The sequence below is a fragment of the Homo sapiens genome, chromosome 5, assembly GCF_000001405.40.
Source record: "Homo sapiens chromosome 5, GRCh38.p14 Primary Assembly".
NCBI classification, from domain to species: domain Eukaryota; kingdom Metazoa; phylum Chordata; class Mammalia; order Primates; family Hominidae; genus Homo; species Homo sapiens.
The window spans coordinates 165,220,320-165,243,499 of record NC_000005.10 but is presented as its reverse complement, the minus strand read 5'-3'; the positions used below and the strand labels follow the sequence as shown (position 1 = coordinate 165,243,499).

Genomic DNA, 23,180 nt, shown 5'->3' with positions numbered 1-23,180 from the left:
GCTACTGCACTAGCTAACATTTAATCTGTGATGACTACATACTCCTCGTGACTTTAAGAGCTTTAAGTATTTTAACTCATTTAATTCTTAGAACATTGCTATGAGTTCTGTAATACTATTGTTGTTTACCGAAGAGGAAACTGAGGCACAGAAAGCCCAAGCTCTTGCACAAGGATCAGAAGGGGGTATAACCAGAATTTGTTTCTCAGCATCCTGACCAACAATTATTTTACCTACTAAACAGGGAAGCCTTTCAAATATAATCCAGGGTATCCGCTTCATTTTACAACTAAAGAAATGAAGGCTGGGTAAGGATAAAGGACTCACAAAGATCGTGTGTTTAGGTAATGATTGAACTATGACAGAAACTCCCATTCTCCAGATTTCCAATTCTGAACTCTCCCTTCTCTGTCTATAATAAAGTTCTCCAAACCAAAAATATATAGTGACTTCAATCATCTAGGGACCTAACATTTCTTACCATTTTGAAGTGGCTTTGTAATGTTTAACTTGGCTAGTCTGAACTTCGTTTTCTGGAATTTCCTTTCTTGTATGCTTCTGTTTAGGATGGACCACAAAGACATTCTTCTGTGAGACTTAGAGAAAGGAAGCAAAACAGGCACCATGTTGTTGCTCACATATGTTGCTGCTGATCTTTCAACTGACCTCATTGGCATGAGGCTACAGCTGGGCCTGAGACTGCTCTATATTTTCTTAAATTGTCCTTCAGTTTCTTTGATTCTTGGGCCAAGTGTGTGTGTTTAACTTCATGATGAAAAACTTCAACTACTTCAGATCATCCGTGCCAAAAATTTCAGAGGCAGTGAGAACATACACAGGTTTCAATGTAAATTCTCACTGGGTTTCAGCCTATGCCTGTAGCTTCCAGCTTCTTCTAAATCTCCCTGACTTTACATATGTCTTTCATTACTGGCTTCCCAGCCACTCCAGTCATTATATAATGGGCTCATAAATAAAGTGGCCATCATGGCAGGAATCAAGGTTATCTATGGCATCACCAACATGAATTTTCTTTCACCCAAGCCAATATAGCTACAGCCATTGCCGAATACCCCGAATTGCAGGAATGGGGCCATTCCTGCAATATGGCCCCATTTCCTGAAGGATCAGCCAGCTACCTGTTGCCAGGTTAATTACATTGGGCCACTTCTGTCATTGTAGGCACAGCATTTTGTTTTCACTGGTCAAGCTATTAATCTGGATATAGATTTGCCTTCTTACTTGCAGTGCATCTTCAAACTGTCCACAGATTTACAGGATATCTTATTCACCATATTCCACATAGCATCATTTCTGACCAAGAAACTCATTTCACAGCAAATAAAGTGCAGCAATACACCCAAACCCATGGAATTTACTGGTCTAATCATATTCTCTATTGTGCTGAAGCAGCTAGCTTGATGGACTGATGAAATGGCCCTTTCAAGTCTTATTCATGACAGCATCTGGGTGGCAACATAATGCAGGGCTAGAAAAATGTCCTCCAGGATAAAATATGTGCATTAAATCAGCATATGGTATATGACGTTGTTTCTCTAACAACTAGGATTTACATATCTAGGAACCAAGGGGTAGAAATAAGAATGCTTCCTCTGAACATTATCCCTAGCAATCCAATAACTGGATTTTTGTCTTCCATCCTTACCACTTCAGTTTCTGCTGGTCTAGACATCTGGGTTCCAAAAGAAGAATGCATCTCCCAGGAGACATGACAATGATTCCATTCAACAGGAAGTTGAGACTGCCACCTGAACACTTTGGGCTCCTCATGCCTCTGAATCAACGGGCAAAGAAGAGAGTTATAGATCCTAACCACCCAGGAGAAATTCGGTGGCCACTACACAAACAGAGTAAGAGGAGCATTTCTATGATGCGGGAGATCCTCTAGAATGTTTGTTGGTATTCCCAGGTCCTGTGATTAAAGTATGTGGAAAACTATAGCAGCCCAATTCAGGATGTTTCCAGATACTTCAGTAAGTGAGAACTGTGTCACTACGCCACATTGACCAGTTGAGAGGCTAGCTCAGTGCAAAGAAAATATGAAATGAGTAGGGGAAGAAGGTAGCTATAAACATCAGTTATGGCCACATGACCAATTATAGAAACAAGACTAGAATAGTGTGAGTACTTATTTCTTATTTTGGTATAACTATGTTTGTATTTGTATTAACCAAGTATCTCCCTTTTCTTTCTCTTTCTTCTTATCAAAGATGTATTAATAGTAATTAAATTTATATCATAGTCTTGAAATTACAAGATATCCAACTTGAAGCATGCATTGGGAGAAGAATAAATATCATCCAAAGACAAAAAAACAACAACACGACGTTGTGTTCTACTAAAAGGAAAAAAGCCTATTTTCAGATGTACTTAGAAGAGATACACCATGTTAGGTGGAAGTTTGACTTTGTCATGATCTTTTGTGTAGTCTAAGTATGATTTAAGATGTTTATGAGTGCCAAATTGGTAAGGAGTGGATTGTGCTGGCTCTGCAAACTATGTCAGCTTGGCTGTACTGGGCTACATTTCCCAGAGTACCCTTCCCTGTATATCTCCACTTAGGGTGGGCCAAGAGAGATTCTTGCAGGCGATTTAGTGGGTGGAAGTAAAGCAACAACTATTTTATATCTTGCACATATTTTTGTCAGTCTGGTTAAATTATTGATGTGAGGCATGAGGTGGACCTACAACTAGTGCACCTTCCCTTTGATATTTCTTCAGCTTTTCTGACTCTGCGGCCAGGTGTTTGTATTTAACTCCACGGTGAGGAGACTCATCTTCTGACGGACCTAACCTATACCATCAAGGTCAGAGGCAACAAGAAATGGCATGCATTTCAGTTTATTGTTCTGTGGCTCCAGCTTGTATATTTTAACTCTAGATTTTTTTTTACTTTCCCCACTTTACAATCATCTTCCCTTTCCAACTACCTTCCTTGTGGACTTCAAGCTCCAGCACCACAAGCAAAGACAAAAACCTTGCGGAAACTATTTAACTAACTCCCACAATTGCATAAGGTAAGATTCATGTAACAATTGTATAGATCTGCCTATTGATCTCCTAATGGTTTTCTTCTCTGATTAAATTCTGGATACAAATGGACTATAATTAAATTGCATTCAGTTAAATTGCTTTAATGAAATACTTGTATAAAATTGCTAATATTAAAGGAAAGAAAAATATTTGTTATTTGGCCACCATGACAATATTCTACTTCCTCTACATGGCCTCAGTGTGTCAACATAGATCTACTTATTTAAAAAGCATTGTTAAAATTACCAATGACTTAAATTTACTTAAGCCACTTAAGTAAATACATCTAAACACATACTCATATGAAAACATACCTCTAATGATATTGTCACTATTTTAGCTGCAGATGTTTTATAATAAAATCTCCTTTTCTGTGTTCAAGGCAGTTACATAAAATAAACATCTTTTTTTAATTTATTTATCTATTTTTTGAGACAGAGTATCACTCTGTTGCCAGGCTGGAGTGCAGTGGCACAATCTCGGCTCACTGCAACCTCCGCCTCCCAGGTTCAAGTGATTCTCCTGCCTCAGCCTCCCAAGTAGCTGGGACTACAGGTGCGTGCCACCATGCTCAGCTAATTTTTTTAATTTTTACTAGAGGCGGGGTTTCACCGTGTTTGTCTGGATTGTTTCAATCTCTTGACCTCGTGATCCACCTGCCTTGGCCTCCAAAAATGCTGGGATTACAGGTGTGAGCCAACGCGCCCCGCCAATAAACATTATTATTAAGCCCTTTAAAGAGAGTGAGGAAACTGAGGCTTAGAATTAATTCTCTCTCCAAATCACACAGCAAGTAAACGGTAGGATACATTGATTACAGAATATTTAATTCCATATGCTACCCATCTGTGTTCAAAATCCTACATTGGTATTCAGAATAAATGAGTTTTGCTGTGAGAATTAAAAATGACATTGCACAAAGCCTTGAGTTTATAGGTCTTCAACATGTATGCTTGGAAAATTTTAGTTGTTGATATTATGATTATCATTATTAATATTTATATCTGACAGCTCTTGGCATGATTGTCCTATAATTAGCTTTATGTATCTTGTCATGTCTATCCAGTAATACCGTAAACCCAGCACTCCAGGGGGCAGCAAATGTGTAGCAGATTACTTACTTAGATTGAGATTGGCTGGGCTCAGCCATTTGCCAATCATATGTTTTTGATAAAATTAAGTGTTAAAAGCTTGGTTCCCTCACCTGTAATCTGGGTATATTAGTAATGGTTACCTTATATGCTGTTGTTTAAGTTTCATTTTAAGAGCAATGGGAAGCCACTAAAGTGTTTTAAAAAGGAGAATTCCCGTTTACTCTTTTAAAAGATTGCTCTTTTATGTAAAGAATGGATGATGAAGGCAAAAGTGGAGATGAGAAAAGTAATTGGCAGGATACAACATATTCAAGGGAGAAGTGGTCTTATCTTTGACTCAGATGATGTCATTGGAGTGCCAGTTTAGTGAAAGAGTACACAGGACTTAGTCTTAAATGAAGAGTAAGAGAGAGAAGTGAAGACAGATCTCCAGTTTCTGAATTGAACAGTGAGGTCAATGAAGTTGCTATAAACAGAGGAGGTAAAGACTAGAAAGATGCCTTTTGGCAGTGGTGATGGTGGTGGTAAGAGTGGTACACAAAAATAAACTTCCTCACTTATCGGCTATCACTCCCTAGGGTAGGAATTTCATTTCTCTGCTTTATTTTTTATGAGCATCTATATTTTTCAAGTTGAGAGTCTAGCATAATAGGTTGGTAAATAAAATATTATGGGAAGACCATTTTAATAGATGGTCATATATTTACAGAAAGATTCCTTTTTACTAGTTATCTATCTTTTAAAAACTTTCCTGATATTGATCTTTAATTTATTATTAATTTCTTTCAGGATCTAAATGAAAATATTTCTGCAGTGAACCAGTTCTATTGTTTTAAATATCACCCTTATTAAAGAGAGCTTTGACACTTTTCTATGTAAAGACATGATTCACACTCTTTGTTTTAATTTTACTTTTCTTTGGCCTCCATTTGAGTTGCTGCCCAAATTCTAGACTATGGTATTTATTACTCGCTCCTAGGAAGTTTCTCACCACCAGCCACTACTGCAAAACCTGCCAGATGCCCTAAAACATGCAAATACTTGGGTTCCTCCTAGAATTGTAAATACAATGACTCTGTTGCCTCCAGAAAAATGTCTGAATTCCTTCATATATTTCACAAACAGTAAGCAGTATAATATGAAAAGAATATACAGAAATCAGCAGAAAAACTAGACTGAAAATTAAGTCCATAGGCTTTTTTGCCTATTCTCTGAGCCAAAAATCAGAAAATATACATGACTTGAGAAATATAACATTTAGCAAGAGGTCCTAAGGATAAATCGTGAAATATCGTAGTATCTTAAAAGATCCAGATGTAAGTTTATTTTAGCTCTTAGCATGTGTTTGATCATAGCATTTAGCTCTTAAATAATTATTGGTTTATGGTTTCCTTGATGGGACTGTGAGCATCTTGATGCCAAGGACTATGATATTTAATTTTATGTACACTGTATCTGGATATAATAGATGCTCATGAAGCATTTGTTGACAGGATGAAGCACAGATTGACACCTGATATCATTAGAAGTTTTATATATTCAATTACTACTGCTGACATGTCAGTAGCATGAAACAGCTTGTAATTGTCAAGATGACGTTATTATTTGCCATTTGCTAAATGGAGCACTAGCTTGGAATCTCTTGCACTGTTTTCTGTAGGGTGATGGGAACATGTGGAGTTTGTCAGCTAGCACAGATAAACTTGTTATTGGATATAACCCTTCCTGGGTCATTCAGGTGTAGGTTAAAAAGAAAAATGACCATAACGCTGGTGAGAGGTATTTTCATTTGGCAGCCCTTATATTGAAGTCAATGTATGGAAAGCAAAGGCTGCAGGCAATAGCCTTGAGTCCAAGCTTCCAGGGAAACCTTTATCCCACTGCTCCTTGCTCCTGACCTAACATCCATCTTAAGAGGTGAAGCAGGGGTTCATGTCCCTGGCTCCTTCAAACTTGGAATTATAGCCCAACTCCCAAGCTGGCTGTCAATTACTGCCAATTTACAGGGCTAAGAGAAAATGTTTTATGGCCTCTTAGAAGCAGAGGAAGAAGAAAAAGAGAAAAAATGAAGTGAATATGAGCTTGGGAGATGCTATTAATATACATGTTTTGCTTTGCCTTTAGTTAGTTTTCTAAAGCTCTCTGACTTACAGAAATCTGCTATCACAGGAATAGCTAAAGGAAAAATATTCAAGGGCATTTGGTGCCCACATTCCAGTTTGCAGGTAAACTGCAACATCCCCCAAAATGAAAGCTGCACACAAATGCGTCTCAAACTCTAGTGACTGTTAGAATAGTCTAGACGGCTTGCTAAAGCACAGATGATTGCTTGACCCCATCTCAGAGTTTCTGACTCAGTAGGTCTGGTACAGAGTGTGACAATTTGCATTTCAAACAAGTTTCCAGGTAAGGCTGATGTTATTGATCAGGGGACCACAATTTGGGAACCATTGCCATAAACATTACTGTAAAGTTAATTTTTTAAATAATTTTGTACATTAATTGATATAAACACTGCAAATATAATTTCACCTTTAAAAAAAAAAGCAAGAAACCAAAAGCAATATATAAAAAATATGTTGCATCCAGTAAATGGAAGGTGTATTACAGGAACTGAATCCATAGGGAAGAACTGCCTTTTCAGTGCCCACACATATTCTAGAAGAAAATGAGGAGGAATAAGATGATAAGCATGCCTGACATTAAAGAAAAGCTTCTTCGTGCCTAATGCAATGGAGAATTTGTTTAAGAACAATTCAGGAGCATGGCAGTCTGACCCCTTCAGTGAGTCAAGTTCACGAAGTCCTTAGCTGTTGGCTGAATACGTGCAAATAAAATACAGTAGATGGTAATAGAGGCAGAGGTCATGTAAAATGATGACACGCCTTCTACCATTCTCAGAGTTAAAGGACAAAGTTTTTGACCTAACCTTTCCATAAGTTTCTTATTAGTTCTTTCCTACATATCCATCTTCCCACTTGGAGAAACTAAACCTGTTCTTCTACAGCTACAAGTTATTTGGATAATTAACCTGATTTTAAAACGTGATATACGTGAAGGAGAAGATACTGTAGTTTATACCAATTGCTCTCAACTGGGGAATTTTTGCTCCCCCGGAACATCTTGGCAATGTCTGATGACATTTTTGATTGTCACAACTGGAGAGATGCTACTGGCATTTAGTGAGTAGAGGCCAGGGATGCTGCTTAGCATCCTATAGTGTGCAGGACAGCCCTACAACAAAGATTTATCCAGCTCAAAATGCCAATAGTGCCAAAATTGAGAAACCCTGGTTTACACTCAGGAAATGAACCGACTGAAGAAAATCGTCTCCTCACACCTTTCTTTCTGTGTTGTCTCCAGTGTGAAAGAAATGTTATTAGACTACAGCATAGGATCTGAGAATCTCTCCAGAAATGCGTTCCCACACTGTTCCAACCCCATGGTTATTGACCAGGCATCTTGCAGCCTTACTCATGAAATGAATACACTGGAATATTAAAACAAATCCTCACTTACAAGAGTATATTTTACCTATTTCTTTTATTATTTTTCATAGGTATTGTTATCAAATACGAAAGGCTCCAAATGGCTTTTATTATGCCCCGTTAGTGGTGATACTGATGGCTGTCCCACCGATGGTGCTGCTACAAATGACAGTCAAACATCCACAAAAGCAATCTTTCCAATGTTACTCAAGTTTACTCAAGTTTACTTGTCTTTTGTAATAAAGTTGGCATATTAAAAAATTATAAACACAAATTGCTCAAATGAAAGCATCTTGAATAGACTTCTCAACAGAGGTTTTTTTTTTTTTTTCTTTGCATGCTTCAGTGATAGTGATTCTTTTTATCAGTCAAAGTAAAAGTAAATCAATATTTATGTCATCCAAGAAATCTGACTAATGCTAGGAATTACTGAATAGGCAATTACATTTCAAATGCAAAATTTAACAAAATAGTGGTATAATGCAGAAAGCAAATGAAGTAGCAATACAGTAAAACCAAGTGCATTTCAAAGAGCTCAGTGATTTGAAGCTTTTCCACAATCTGTTTTCAAAACCTTCTTTTGATATTCATAAATTCAAATTAAATAATAGAATTAATGAAAGAAATAAAAAAGTCTTAAAGATAGGATCTTTCAACATAATATTCTTGAGTAGTTTATGATTATAAACAGAGTGGCAGCTTTATCTACTTTAACAGTGAATTTCAAGGAACAAGATTGAAAAGTATGTTCACGAGGAAATATGTCAAGTTCATTAAATACTTAACATATCATAGTTTTTTTATACACAAGCATACATATTTCTCCCTTACTTCATATTCTAACATACATTTATTAACCTAAACATCTCCTCTATAGTGGAACTGCAAGAAGAATATGATGCAATAAAGTCATTTTTATTTGAATTTATTTACTTAGTGATTATAATAGTCAAATTAATACGATGAATTACTTCTGTAACATTTATCACAGGACTTAGAATCCATAAGTAACAGAAAAACTATGCTGAGTCATACTGCTCTCTATATAATTTCACTTATAAATTTGCATATTTCTAGATTTGTATGTAAATCAGTATTTGGTCTACACATTGATGCTTCTAAGATTCCAAGTCACTTTTACTGTCTAGAAGAAAACATATGATAAAGTATATTTTACTTACACATCCATTCCACCAATAATTTTTTTCAATGTTCTATTATTTGACAGGGGCTTTTCCTGGCATGTAAGTTACTGTATTAATCAGTCTTCATGCTGCTGATGAAGATATACCCGAGACTGGGCAATTTACAAAAGAGAGAGTTTTAATTGGACTTACAGTTCCATGTGGCTGGGGAAGCCTCACAATCATGGCAGAAGGCAAGGAGGAGCAAGTCACATCTTACATGAATGGCAGCAGGGAAAGAGAGAACTTGTGCAGGGAAACTCCTCTTTTTAAAACCATCAGATCTCATGAGACTTATTCACTACCGTGAAAACAGCACAGGAAAGACTTGCCCCCATGATTCAGTTACCTCCCACCGGGTCCCTCCTACAACACATAGGAATTCAAGATGAGATTTGAGTGGGGACACAACTAAACCATATCAGTTATCAACTTCATGGTTTGTCCATGATTCTCCTAGTTTTAGCACTGAAATTTCTATGTTTCAGGAAACCTCTCAATCCTGGGCAAACTGAGGCACTTGATTAAGAGACATTTGATTCTTGCTTTATAAGGTTGTTCATGAGTTTCACTTCCAAAAAGCAAAATGGGTTTCCAGACAGAAAAGTACATGGATTTTGGAGTAAGGCTCAACAGGGTTTGATATGGTTTGGCTGTGTCCCCACTCAAATTTCATATTGAATTCTAACTCCCACAATTCCCATGTGTCATGGGAAGAACCCAGTGGGAGGTAACTGAATCATGAGGCCAGGTCTTTTCCATGCTGTTCTCATGATACCGAATAAGTCTCACGAGATCTGACGGAATTATAAGGGGGAGTTTCCCCACCCAATCTCTCTCTCTCTTTGCCTGCCGCCATCCACGTAAGATGTGAGTTGCTCTTCTGCCATGATTGTGAGGCTTCCCCAGCCATGTGGAACTGTAAGTTGTTAAAATTATTTCTTTTGTAAATTGCCCAGTCTCAGGTTTGTCTTTATCAGCAGCATGAAAACGGACTAATGCAGGGTTCAAATCTCTGAGCTCTTGCATTTCTTAGTTCTGTGACCTTAGACAATTAAATATCTCTCAGCTCTATGTTTTATATGCCCAATGAGATAATCAAGCTCATCTTTCAAGGTTGTTATAAGGATTGTTACATATGTAAGTAAAAAGCTAGTGTTGAACATATATGTTACTCAACGTATAAAAGTATTGCTATCAAAACTCAAAATATCAAAACAGCATAAAGCCTTTCAAAGATCTGATGTGGCAAAATGATGCAAATATTGAATATATCAGGACTTCTGAAAGGAGGAACTGATAAAGAAAATTATATAACATTTCATCTAGTCATGATGTCAGTGGTTTTATAATTCACTGGGCAGAACAGTAGAGAAAAAAAAGTCATATATATGTAAGTTTACAAAACAAAAGCAATTCTAAATACATTGATCCAAATAATCCTGAAGCTGAGTTCTGTGAAACCTCTGGACACAATTTTCTTTAAACCTTTGATTCTAAGTATCAAGAATGTGATACAGGAATTACAGCCAACTCAAAGTCATGGATTCTAAGCTTGTAGTCTCAGGTTATTTATTCTGTTCAATATCCTCTGTATTTATTTATGTTTCCTCTGGCCTTCAAACCTTCAGTTTCCTGTAAGGAAATTGTCACAACTAGGTTTTTGTATTCTACGCAGAGAGTTCATGTCCCACTGATTCTAGGTTTATTTTCTTTCTAAATCTCCCAACCTTTCTCCTCCTCGATACATCTAAAATCACCATGAATTTGCAGGAAAATACAGAGGCACAATAAATGGCAGAATTGGTAATGGAGCAGTTGAGCATTCATTACAAAGTCAGATGAGTTCTTTGTCATTTAAGGAGACAGGAGAAAGACTGACATTAAAATACAGTTCATTAAAAGTGAGTTTTAGCCTGGCCATTTACAGTGCCAAAACATCTGGAGAGTATTTTAATTTACGGAGGAGTGCTTTCAAAACCCTTTGAACTCCTAACTAAACACAAGGGAATTGGTAAATAAAAGGCTTTGGCTTTTGTACTGCAGTGACGTATCTATTCATTTTTCAGAACTCTGCCATCTAACAGCCTAAGTATCCTTCAACACTAACTCAGTTGTGCTCTTTTGAAGTGTTATTTTCTCCTTGTCCTTCCATTTTTACTCTAACATTTTGCTGGAATAGAAGCTAATGATTAAGCAAGTTAGAGTAAATTTTCCCCCACAGATTGTTCATCCTTATCTAAATAAAAAGGGTGGGAAACAGAGCTCAGTAGGGCACATCATGCACAGGTAAAAGTGAATCCAGCGCCAACCATAGCAGCAACAGCACTGTCCCTTCTTGTCCTTGCAAAGCTCAAGTATCTATAGAGCCACCACCAGCATTCACATTGCCCTTTCCCACATTTGAGTGGGAGCTGTTTATTTGCATAATGATTTAAAACATCTTTGGTCTTTATATTTTTTATTCATCCTAATATATTTTTGGAGAGTGAAGTGGCAGCTCTTTACAAAGGGAAGTGACTCTTACAATATGCTTTGGGGAGTGTGTGAGTCAATGGTCAGATAAATGCTGGTTCATAAGAAAAAAAAATCACTTAGGATCAAAGCTTAAGGACCAAAGGCTGTTTTAATACCTGATGACTAGTAATAAATAAACTCTTGATTTGTGTAATCTCTTTCTCGTTGCCAGGAAAAAACAAGACACCACAACCAGATCTTGCTAAGACATGTAGTCTCTAATTTCAAATTTTATTTAAATCATGAGGACTTTCCTGCTTTACCCATCCAGAAAAAAAAATCCTTTCTCTGTTTCCTCTCACTGTGTTACTCAAACATCTATTGACTAATTTCTATCTGCCTTGGATTCAAGCATATGCCTCCCTTCCCAACTCCAGATAGTTTACATATTTTTAAATGGCAGAGACTTTGACTATGCCTTCACTATATTTTCCAAATGCCAAGCCCAGCGCCTTATCCAGAACAGGTGTTCAACGAATGCATAAGATTAAGCATTCATTAAGATATAGATGCGATTAGTATATAGATGATTATCAGAGTTAGTCGAGTCTCATTCTTGTTTCATATTTTATGTAGAGTGCAATTTACATTATGATAGAAGAATAGTTTTAGTTGTGTATGCGTATGTCCCCCAACTTTTTTGTTTACAAAATACTGGAATTCATCATAATCCACTATCACTGATTCACTGTTCATCCATTCATTCATTTAACAAATACCTATTGCTACGCACTCATTTATATTCCAATCACTAGATGCCTTACTGTACCATGTCTTATAAAGGCAACAATGAGCAGACCCCAAATTTCAATACAGATCTGTCTGAAGCCTGGCATCTTTGTATTGTATCCTTTTTATTTCCCATGCCCCCTCTCTTATTCCTGAATTCCAAAACTAATACAAAAGAGCATATAATTTCATCCCCCAAATTCTTCAGAATGCAACAAAAATAACATAAAGGACATTTCTTTACATGCCACAAATGTATTAGGACACTGAACACAATTAACAGTAATTACTTAATCCCGTTTAATAAACAGTCCATATTTAACCTTCTCCAACTTTCTAGTTTGTTTTAATCAGGATACAAATAAGTACCACAGTTTTTATTTGGTTGCTACAGCTCTTAGATATCCTTTAATCTAAAACAACCTTTCTTCCTACCCCCTTTTTTCCACGTCATTCACTTGTTTGAAGAGCCAGGCCAGTTGTGCTGTAGAATGTCCTGCATCCCAGATTTGGCTCATTGCTTGCTCGTGATGTGGATAAACTTGTTCCTCCATTTATTTACTTTTGAACTCTCTCCAATCAGGCTTGTACACCGAAACACTCCATAGAAATTGCTTTTCTGAGGATCACCAATGACTCCATGTAATTAAATATAATGATTAATTTTGGGCCCTCATACTACTTGACATATTAGCAGCATTTGACTTCATCACTTTCTCTACCTTTAACCTTTTTTTTTTTGTCTTTCCTAACCTTGAGCTGACTTCAGTATGTTAAACTCTACCTTGGGTCAAATTAGTTAGTTATATTTTGTAAGTGGCAACTGAAACCTATATTTATATACTTTTTACTTCTCCTTTGCTTCTGCTTCAAATTATTTCCTCTCTAGTTTCCTTTCAATGCTAAGAAAAACACACAATCTGTTTATAAAACATTTATAACCATAGCAATCAATATTACATTTTATTTGTATCTATATTCAGAGCTGATATTCACCCAGTGCACACCTGATATGAACAGATGTTTTATTTATCTTTGCCATCAATTCTTACTGTCTACTGCATGTACCATACCATTTGCAGTAGCACCCCCATGCCTCATACAAAGCCTCCTGAGCCGGCTGCCCAAGGGAAGACAAGATCATCCTCAATTCTCATTGCCAGTGTGGCAGCAAAGAATTAGGCATGATGGACTCCCCAAAGTATCTGGAAAACTAGATTCCGTTTGTCCTGTTGTATTATCTTTGAGGTCCTTTTGTTATAGATTTTGGATATTTTTAGCTTCCATTTGGGGGAGAATACTAGAGAAAAGAAACTCGGCCAAGGAAATAGAAAAGTGACAAAGCTAAATGAACAGCCCTCGCAAAATGCAGACTTGACATGTATTAATAGAGCTATACATTTTTATATATAAAATCTGGATATGAAAGCCCGAATCATGGTAGAGTTGTCCACTTAAACTTCTGCTATATTAAGGAAGTCTTTTGTGGAGATTTAAAGATATAGAATTTAGTTTGGAAAATAAGCATTAGAAAAAGTCCTTATGAGTTAGAGAGTTTTTATCTTTTAAGTAAATGAAGTGAAGTGTGGGTTAGAAATGGATTTTTCTATCTTTCCACTCTGCCATAGTGTAGATGCTTGAATTCTTTCTCATATCTGTCTCCTAGTTCCAAGATGTTGCTACAAATCCAGATATCATGGCCATGTTCACAGCAAGAATGAGAAAAAGGGGGCAGCTATATCTGTACTAATTTACGAGGAAAGTCACCCCACTTCCTCCAATAGACTTTCTTCTGAGCCTCACTAACCTCAACTGCGTCCCAAGATCACCACTAGTTGCAAAGGCGAATGTCAAAGCAGGAAAAATAATTCTCATGTTGGGTTATGTTAATCATTATCTATCTTCCTCCATAAACCAAAGCAGGGTACTCTAAGCAAGGCAGAAGGAGCAAATAGATCCTGAGTGGGCAAATAGTGGGATCTGCTACACAGCATATGTTAATAAAGGTGGCTGAATAGTTTATTATCTGAGCATTTTGGTTAACATAAACTTCCTTTGTTGCAATCTCACATACATTCAGAAAAGAGTTAACATTGTCTGTACATTCTAGACGAGCTCAGACAGTATAAACAACACTTGATTAATGCTTTTTAATGGCTAGGCTGGTGTTTATTTGCATGTTGGTATTATAAAATGTAAGAGCTTTTAAATTCAAAACCTGAGGCACTAAAGTGGGGCAAAAGACTTTGAACTTATTAAATGTTAAGTTTAATATTTTAGAAAATAATCATAGGAAACTCCATGGAATTACATATTGATATTTACTTAATATGATTTCACAGTGTGTATATATTATGAATAAATGGATATTTGCATAATATAATATTGTATTTAGGGTGTCATAGACACTGAGTTATCTTTTGCATTCATATTTTATTTTTATCACAGGCAATTTTTCATATTGCCCTATTATCATAGGAATACTTCCTACAGAGAAAATGTGTTTAAGCCATTATACTAAATGTATGGTAACTACCGCATCTTACATTATGCTTTGCTATATGATTTTTCTTATCTAGTAGGAAAACAAAGGATGAATTATGCCCACTTTACGTAATGTTTACTTTAAATTCTATATAGTGCAATGTATTTATTTCCTTAGATTGTGTTTGTTCCTCTTATTCTCAAGCCTAGTAAATATTTGCACTCATAGGCTGCCTGTAGCTTCCATATGCTCAACAAAGAATAGATAAAAGGATAGAAAAAGAACAAAATTTACCATCACCTTCCATGCAAATGCAAAGCACAGAAGAGATTCTGATTTATATTTCTATTATCTGAAATTAGGATTTCATTTCTGGCTTTTCAAACTTTCAAGGAACCACTATTTATCAAGGCAGAGTCATGGGGTTTCTTAAGCAGCTGTGTGGCTTTGAAACCGTATGAAGTCCAGCTGTGACTGCAGATCTAAGTGTTTTAGAATGAGAAAACTTTCTGAAGACCATTTCTACTACCTATCCTTGAATTCAGCAATTGGGTGAAACATTGGAGATGATGACTCAGCTTATTGCATTCATGCTTTGCAGGCAAAACTGATCTCTTTGAAAAATCATATAGGCTATAAGTGCCAGGTCTAATGATCATTTATAAATCAAACTTAGGAAGCCCTCTTTATTCATGGACATGAGATTAGATATTGTTATATTTATCACTTCCTTCTTCCACCTATCAGGGTAAACCTTGATACTATGAGAAAGGAAGATGAGCTCTGTGAGCTTATTGCTTTGATTCATGTATATAAATCCTTGTGAGGCTACAGAAAGGGATGGTAGTATGACGTTGGATAAGTAAGTATTACTACCTGCACTCCTCCAAGTACAAGCCATTTTTTCAGCAATGTTTCATTGGGGGAGGGTAAGCAATATGTCTGAAGTCAATTTGTCAAATGATCAATTCTCAGAAAGTGTAAGTATTCAAGCTAAAGAAAAATAATCTATGTTTAAGGGAAAGCTCATTCATTTATATAAAATGTCCAGAAATGAGGAAGTGCTAGGTGTTTAAAATTAAGTCATTCCATAAATTCAGTATCTGGAAAGTTGATTTTCCCTGAATTGGCTTTTATTTATTTAATTAATTTATTTATTTTCAGATGGAGTCTTGTTCTTTTGTCCAGCCTGGAGTACAGTGGCATGATCTCGGCTCACTGAGAACGCCACCTACTGGGTTCAACTTATTCTCATGCCTCAGAGTCCTGAGTAGCTGGGATTACAAGCTTGCACCACCAGGCATGGCTAATTTTCATATTTTTATCAGAGATGAGGTTTCACCATGTTGGCCAAGCTGGTCTCGAACTTCTGGCCTCAAGTGATCTGCCTGTCTCAGCCTCCCAAAGTGATGGGATTACAGGCATGAGCCACTGCGTGCCACCTGAATTGGCTTTTAAAGTATTGCTGGCTGAATATGATGGCATCAAAAACCACTACAGACTTTGAATTACACAATTCTTTTGGTTTGCATACAAAGCACTTCTTACAATAGTGCACATTTCTACAGCAGTGCACATGATACAATCAGATCAACAGCTGGCACTAAATTAGAGGAGAAGGTAGGAAGTCAAATTGAACTGGGTGGGAGGAAAGAGACATTTGCTTCCAGGATTTCCACAGGAGAATTATTGTGAATAATGAAAAAAGGTAGAGAAAAATGAAATGTCTGCATGGGACAAGGTTAAATAATACATAAAGTATAGACTTAGGTATTCATGTGATAATGAATATGTATCAACATGGAAAGATACTTACAATATTTTCTAGAATCTGAGAGCAGAAACTAAATAATTTTTGCTCACCATTGAATCTTGCACAGTGCCAGGTATAAGGGAAAAGAGATCAGACTACTAGAAAAATACAAAATCACAATTTCTATAAAAAAGAGGCTTTTGAAAAATGTCCTAAGGTTTTAACAATGCTAAGTCTTTTTAAAATTGCTTATCTACAATTCCTACGTTATGTCAATGAATGTGTTTTGAATTTAAAAGAAAAAATAAAATTAGACGAATGGAATTCCATTGCTCTGAAATTGTTTTCAAACCTCATATAGTTTGGTATTCTTGAATCTAGACTGCATATGTAACCCCTTTTGCCATGTGGCTAATATATTCCATTGCAATATAAAATAGAGATCTATCATCTATCATGACCTCTCAAACCCTGCTACTGATACCTAAGAAGAAGTATGGTGGGTTTTTTGTTTGTTGTGTTTTTTGTTCTTTTTTGAGACGGAGTCTCACTCTGTCGCCCAGGCTGGAGTGCAGCGGCGTGATCTCGGCCCCCTGCAAGCTCCGCCTCCCGGGTTCACGCCATTCTCCTGCCTTAGTCTGGACGGAGGCGCCTGCCACCATGCCCAGCTGTAGCTCTGCTACCACACCGACTGCAGCTGGGACTACAGGCGCCTGCCACCACACTGGGTAATTTTTTTTTTTTTTTTTTTTAGTTTTTTTTTTTTTATTTTTAGTAGAGACGGGGTTTCACCGTGTTAGCCAGGATGGTCTCGATCTCCTGACACCGTGATCCACCCGCCTCGGCCTCCTAAAGTGTTGGGATTACAGGCGTGAGCCACTGCGCCCGGCCGAGAAGCAGTATGTCTTATATAGCTTTCTGCTTAGGTCTATTGCGAAAGTGTGTATGCCAAGGTGATCCCAATTATATTCTGCTTTTAGGCATATATATTGCTATGCATTGGACATATGGAAAGGCCAATAGAATGCCTGTTGGACATTAGCTGAGTGGTGACTATCACAAGTTTAAAAAAAAATAAAAAAAACCCAAAAGATGTTTTCTATGAGTCCTTTTGGAGAGAAGGTGTAAATAAATATAAGCAGTTTTAGAAAATATTCCTGATTAAAGTTAACAGCCACTTAAAAGCTATCTTTAGCATACAGTCTTTGGAGGTTTATTAATAGTTAAGAATGCTTTCTTATATTGATGCTTTATCCAAATTCATACTTAGCTTCTAAACATGTCTGCGGATTTTCTAGGTAAAACTCAGTTTAATAGAAATGTTCATATGGAATGTTTTCTTTAGTTCCAAAGCATATTCTATCTTATTTTAATGAAATAGTAAAATATTTCCTCTCTTCCATCCCACTGCAATCCACTTCTCTGCACAAAGGGAGAATACTATATATTGCCACCTTTCCACTTATAGTGATTAGTAAAGGAAGGAATTTTGCTTAACAATCAAGTCTAGCTCAATGTACAGGAATGCTTAGTTTCCTCACAAAGGTTCTGCAGAATTTTTGGAAAAATAATATAAGTAGAAGCAACAGATAGATGTCTCTATTAGAAAATGTACCGAAAAATCTTCAGGTCTCAGAGAGTGAAAAAGCAAGAATTGATGATGCCTTGCATAATAACGCAAAGACTTACATCCATTGCCGATAGGAAATTAAGCTTGGAGTGACAAAGTGCGCTCTCCATTTTCAGCCTAAAACAGTTATTTTAGACTAATAAAAATGAACTATGAAAAATAAGCTGAGCATTTGGGGTCTTCATGAATGCCTCTGTGAGTGAAAGAATCAATTCTAGGGCAATACCAATCCTTGAAGGAAGGAAGTGAAGACTTGCATGCTGAAGGATTGAAGGTAAAGGACCAAATTACTCTTCTCATTAGCACTATCTTTTCCCCTAGCTTGTTTTATTTTCTTCATGGTATTCACCACCACAGAAAATAATGTTCTTTGCTTATTTCTTGTTAATTATTTGTTCCTTCTCCCCCTCAGAATGTAAGCTGCAGGAGAACAGAAGTTATGTCTACTTTGATTACTGACACATCTCATCATTCTAAGGGTGCCTGGAACAGGGTAGTTAGTTGCTCGATAAACATTTATTCAAAGGCATGAATGACTGATATTATGAGAAACTGAGGAATGGACAGAGAGCTGAGGTTAAGAGAGCTGAGGTCAGCATCATCGTTCACCTCTTGGAAATATGATAGTGTAGGACTGCCAAACTGTGAGAATTAGCAGGAAGAGTACAGCAGTTGGGAGTAGGAGATATAATGAAGCAGCTGCGGTTTTGGCAGCCTCAGATACAGATGAGAGAAACTACTCTAGAGGAAGATGACTTATGGAAAAGAGAAAATGGATTCTTGATTTACTTTGAGAAGAGATGAGCTGCTCAACTTACCATAAATTCTCATAGGACCTAACTTTTAATTTCTGAGTTCTAAAGAAAGGTTAACCAATCTATATTTCCTGAACTGTGTCTAAGCTATGTTTTCATTGCATGGCAATTGTAGATTGCAAAGTACATCTGTATAATCCTAAGCATTTCTTGGCTTGCAGTCTGGAAAATGTCAGTGGCTTATATCTCATGGGAAATGCCATAAACATTTTAATTAGATGCCATTCTGTCTCACTGTCTTATTTCTGGAGGAACATGGCTCCTGTTACATCCCTCCTCCTGAGAGATCCGGATAGAATGTCAAAAGTATAGGGCCATCCTATCTTGCTCACCACAGGGAATATGTGTGTATGCACATATATTTGTACAGTGTATATGTTTGTGTGTGTGCATTTGTGTGTGCACATTTCCTGATTTAGGCTAATAATTCAGATGTAATGAGGAGTTGAAAGAATGTCATGATTTGTTAGCAAGTAGGAATCCAGGTGGTCCTCAAGTTCTAAACCTTAGACAATAAAAAAGATCCAGAAAGCAGTAAGTCTTTTTTCATTAAGCGGTGTTCTGAATAATAGTTACTCATTAGAGACCAGAAGACTAAATGAAGGATAAGGAATCATCTGTTAATCACACACAGGCAGAGAGGCATCAAAGTGACAAGGCCTGAGAAAGAACAATGTGAACTGTTAAAAGTACCGGAAGATCTTTTTCTGTTTCAAATAACTCAGACATTGAGAAGTAGTGCATCATATTGTACTTTGATTATAAAAGAGACCAAAAACAAATATTGGTTTACAGCTATAAGTAATATAATAAAATCTAAGCACTTTAGGCCAGGCGTGGTGGCTCATGCCTGTAATCCCAGCACTTTGGGAGGCCGAGGCGGGCAGATCACAAGATCAGGAGATCGAGACCATCCTGGCTAACACGGTGAAAACCCATCTCTACTAAAAAATAAAAAATAAAAATTAGCCAGGTGTGGTGGCGGGCGCCTGTAGTCCCAGCTACTCGGGAGCCTGAGGCAGGAGAATGGCGTGAACCCTGGGAGGTGGAGCTTGCAGTGAGCTGAGATGGTGCCACTGCACTCCAGCCTCGGCATCTGAGCAAGACTCTGTCTCAAAAAATAAATAAATAAAATAAAAATAAAATTTAAGAACTTTAGGCTTCTTATGAAATTACCTCCAAGCAACCCATCACCAACAAATGTGAGTCTGATAAGCTTCCAGGAAAATATAGGATGATTTCTGCTTATAGTAACATGGCACTACTGACCCATCATGAGTATTTGTGAGAAATAGAGAAATATATTTGAGTGTTTTATGCATGCTCTTTTATATGTTCTGTTTGTTTGTTTGTTTGTTTAACCTATGCCAAATATATCCAACATAGTTCACCATCAGTAGCACTCACGATAATGGAATAGAATGACTCGAACTGCCTAGTTGACATCTCCAATTGGGTGCATAATTGGTGTATCAAACGTAGCACATCCAAAGGATCAAAAACCCCTCTACATTCAGCTCTAATTCTTGCTTTTTCCCCATCTTTTTCATATCAGTAAATGTCACTGTTGCCTGTCCAGTTGTTGAAGGTAAAAATGTCAGCACCATCCTTATCGCTTTGCTTTCCTCTTTCCCCATATGTAATCCATTGACAAATTATTGTGCCCCACCTTGAAAATGCTTTTTCTCTATGCAACTTGTATTCAATGTTTAAACCACCAACATACATCTTAAATTCCTACGATTCATTCTCCATACAGCAGTACAAGTGATCTTTTTGTAATATACATATTATATCTATGTCCTGATTAAATTCTTTAGAAATTTCTTGTTATTAGAATGAAATCCAAACACCCTCTATTTATGATCTTGCTCCTGTCTATGATCCCCAACTGCACTCCCTTCCTTCAATTTCCATCACTCACTCTTCTCTGGTCACCTTTTTAAATTCTGTTTTTTTTTAGCAGGCCAAAATATGGAGGTTCCTGAACAGGGTCTCTCTCACTTAATGCAAGACTAAGTACAGATATCTGAGGACTGTAAAGAATAAATGGTAGGAGGTAGATTGGAAAAAAAGATGGTAATTCAAGGTATCACTAAACTGGTGGTGAAATTGCCATTTTTCCCCTCTCCTGTATTTCCTGGCCTAGAAACAAAGGCAGCATAAAATTGCAGGCTGGATGAAGGCAGAAAGAGCTCCAGGAGCTTCATGAAATAGGAAACGGGACTTCTCAAACAGAGAGTGGGAGAAATCTTGGTGGCTATTTTTCTTTCTTTTTTCCATTATCTCCTGTACTCTAGCCCTGAGAGAATTCTATAGCTGAAGCATTAATAATGGTAGTTCAACAGACACCTAAAAGTAGGAGAGGGAACATTTCTTTTTCCTTTTTTTTTAATTTTCTTATGTTTATTTTATAGAGATCAGGACTTACTATGTTGCCCAGGCTGGTCTTGAACTCCTTGGCTCAAGCAATCCTCTCAACTGTACTTCCAAAAGTGCTGGGATTACAGGTGTTAGCCACCATGCCCAGCCATGTCTCTGATTATTATTGGAAATAGTGATGCCTACATTTCATAGGATTGAAAAGGGAATTGAAGGAAAAATGCAAATAAAGTGATCTCATGGTTTGAATGTTTGTTCCCTTTGAAATTCATGTTTAAACTTAATCCCCAATGTGACAGTATTGACAGCACCCAGTCTAACTTTTTTTTTTTTTTTTTTTTTTAACAGAAGAGTCATGATCCTAAGAACAGAAGGGAGATCCCTGTTGCTTTGACTTCTTGCTGTCCTCCTGCTATTTGGCTCAAAATGCAAACTCAGTTATGAGAAGTACATAGAAGAACAGGTAAACTAAAGCCTGGGCTTTTTCACCAGAGGATGTGGAAAAGAGGCTTCAGGAAATTGAGAAGTATTATGGAGATTGCAAAAATGAGGGAGCTGAAGAAAGAGTTAGAATGACAGTGAATGTGAGAAGAGAGAGAGATGAATACCACGAAGTTGCGTATGTACTGCTGGACTATACCCTGAACTGAGCATGTAAACATCTGACCACAGATGGTATAATAAGGCTTTGAAAACTAAGCTACAATAAAGACCATCACCCAGGCCAAAAATTGCTACTTGGAAATGCACACACAGACTGATCCAAATAGCATTGAAAACACTTAAAGAAATGGTGCAGACATTGGAGTCACAATCCAAAGAAGGCAGATCAGAGTTTGTTCCATAAGCCTGAATAGGTTGATTGCTTAATATAAGAAGAAAATCAACCTTTTTCTTATGATTTAAGACATAATCAGAGTCTCATAACATATTCTCAAAATGCCCAGGATATAATTTAAAATTATTTGGCATATGAGAAACCAGTGTGATCGTCTCTTAACTCTTAAAGAAAAAGACAATTAAAAATATCACAATCAAAATGACAGGAATGTTGTATTTATCAGATAAAGACATTAAAGAGATATTATAACCATGCTCTAACAGGCAAATGAAAAGACTCATAATGAATAGAAAAATAGAAGGTCTCAGCAAAGAGAAAGAATATATGAAGATGAAAAATGGAAATTTTAGAACTGGACAATGTGACAGTCCAAAGAGAAAATTCACTGGATGGACTAAATAGGATAATGGAGATAACAGAGGAAAAGAGGCAGATGACTTGAATACCGATCATGAGAAATTAACTATTTCAAAGAAGAGAGTAAAAAGAGACTTAAAAATAAAATGAACAGAGCCTCTGAGTCCTGTGAAACAATGTCAAAAAGCCTAATATTGGTGTCATCTGAACCACAGAAGGAGGAAGAAAGTATGAGAAAAAATATCTAAAGAAAAATAGCCAGAAACTTCCTTAATTTGGCGAAAGATAAAATCTTAAAGATGCCTGAGGAGGCTCAGGAAACTCTAAGGAGAAGAAGCTACAAAAAATCTACACTCTAAAACTTCTGAAATTAAAAAACAAAGAAAAAATTTTTGAATGCACCCAGAAACTCAATACAAATGGAGAATTCTGATTTGAATACTGTATATTTTATATAAGGAAACATGGTAGTTAAGGGGAAGTGGAACAACATTTTTTAAGTGATGCAAAAAATGATTCTATATTCAGAAATCTTTATCCAGTAAAAATATTCTTGATAAATGAAAATCAAATAAAGATATTCCTGATGAAACTAAACTAAGAGCATTTGCTGTCAGTAAGAAACCTGTAACACCAGGAATAAAGGAAGAGTAACAGATTTGGTAAAATATAAGAGACTATTCTTCTCTCCTTCAGTTCTTTAAAATATGCACAATGATTAAAAACATAAATTATAACAAAATATACAACATAAAAGGAGAATAAATGTACCTATATTTTGATGATTTTCTGCTTACCCTTTAAAGTGATAAAATATTGACTCTAAATAGAATGTAAAAAAGTAAGTATAT

At 36.6% G+C, this 23,180-nt stretch overlaps 1 long non-coding RNA gene across 2 annotated transcripts; it reads left to right on the top strand.

Annotated features, from left to right (window-relative positions):
• Window positions 1-22,926, top strand: LINC01938 (long intergenic non-protein coding RNA 1938). 2 transcript variants are annotated; one of them, NR_183276.1, is made up of 5 exons: window positions 1-344; window positions 1,675-1,871; window positions 2,743-2,828; window positions 2,971-3,038; window positions 21,480-22,926. It is a non-coding gene; the product is annotated as a long intergenic non-protein coding RNA 1938 (long non-coding RNA). The 2 variants fall into 2 exon arrangements; NR_183277.1 differs by lacking the exon at window positions 21,480-22,926 and adding an exon at window positions 4,938-5,028.
• The last annotated feature ends 254 nt before the right edge of the window (window positions 22,927-23,180 follow it).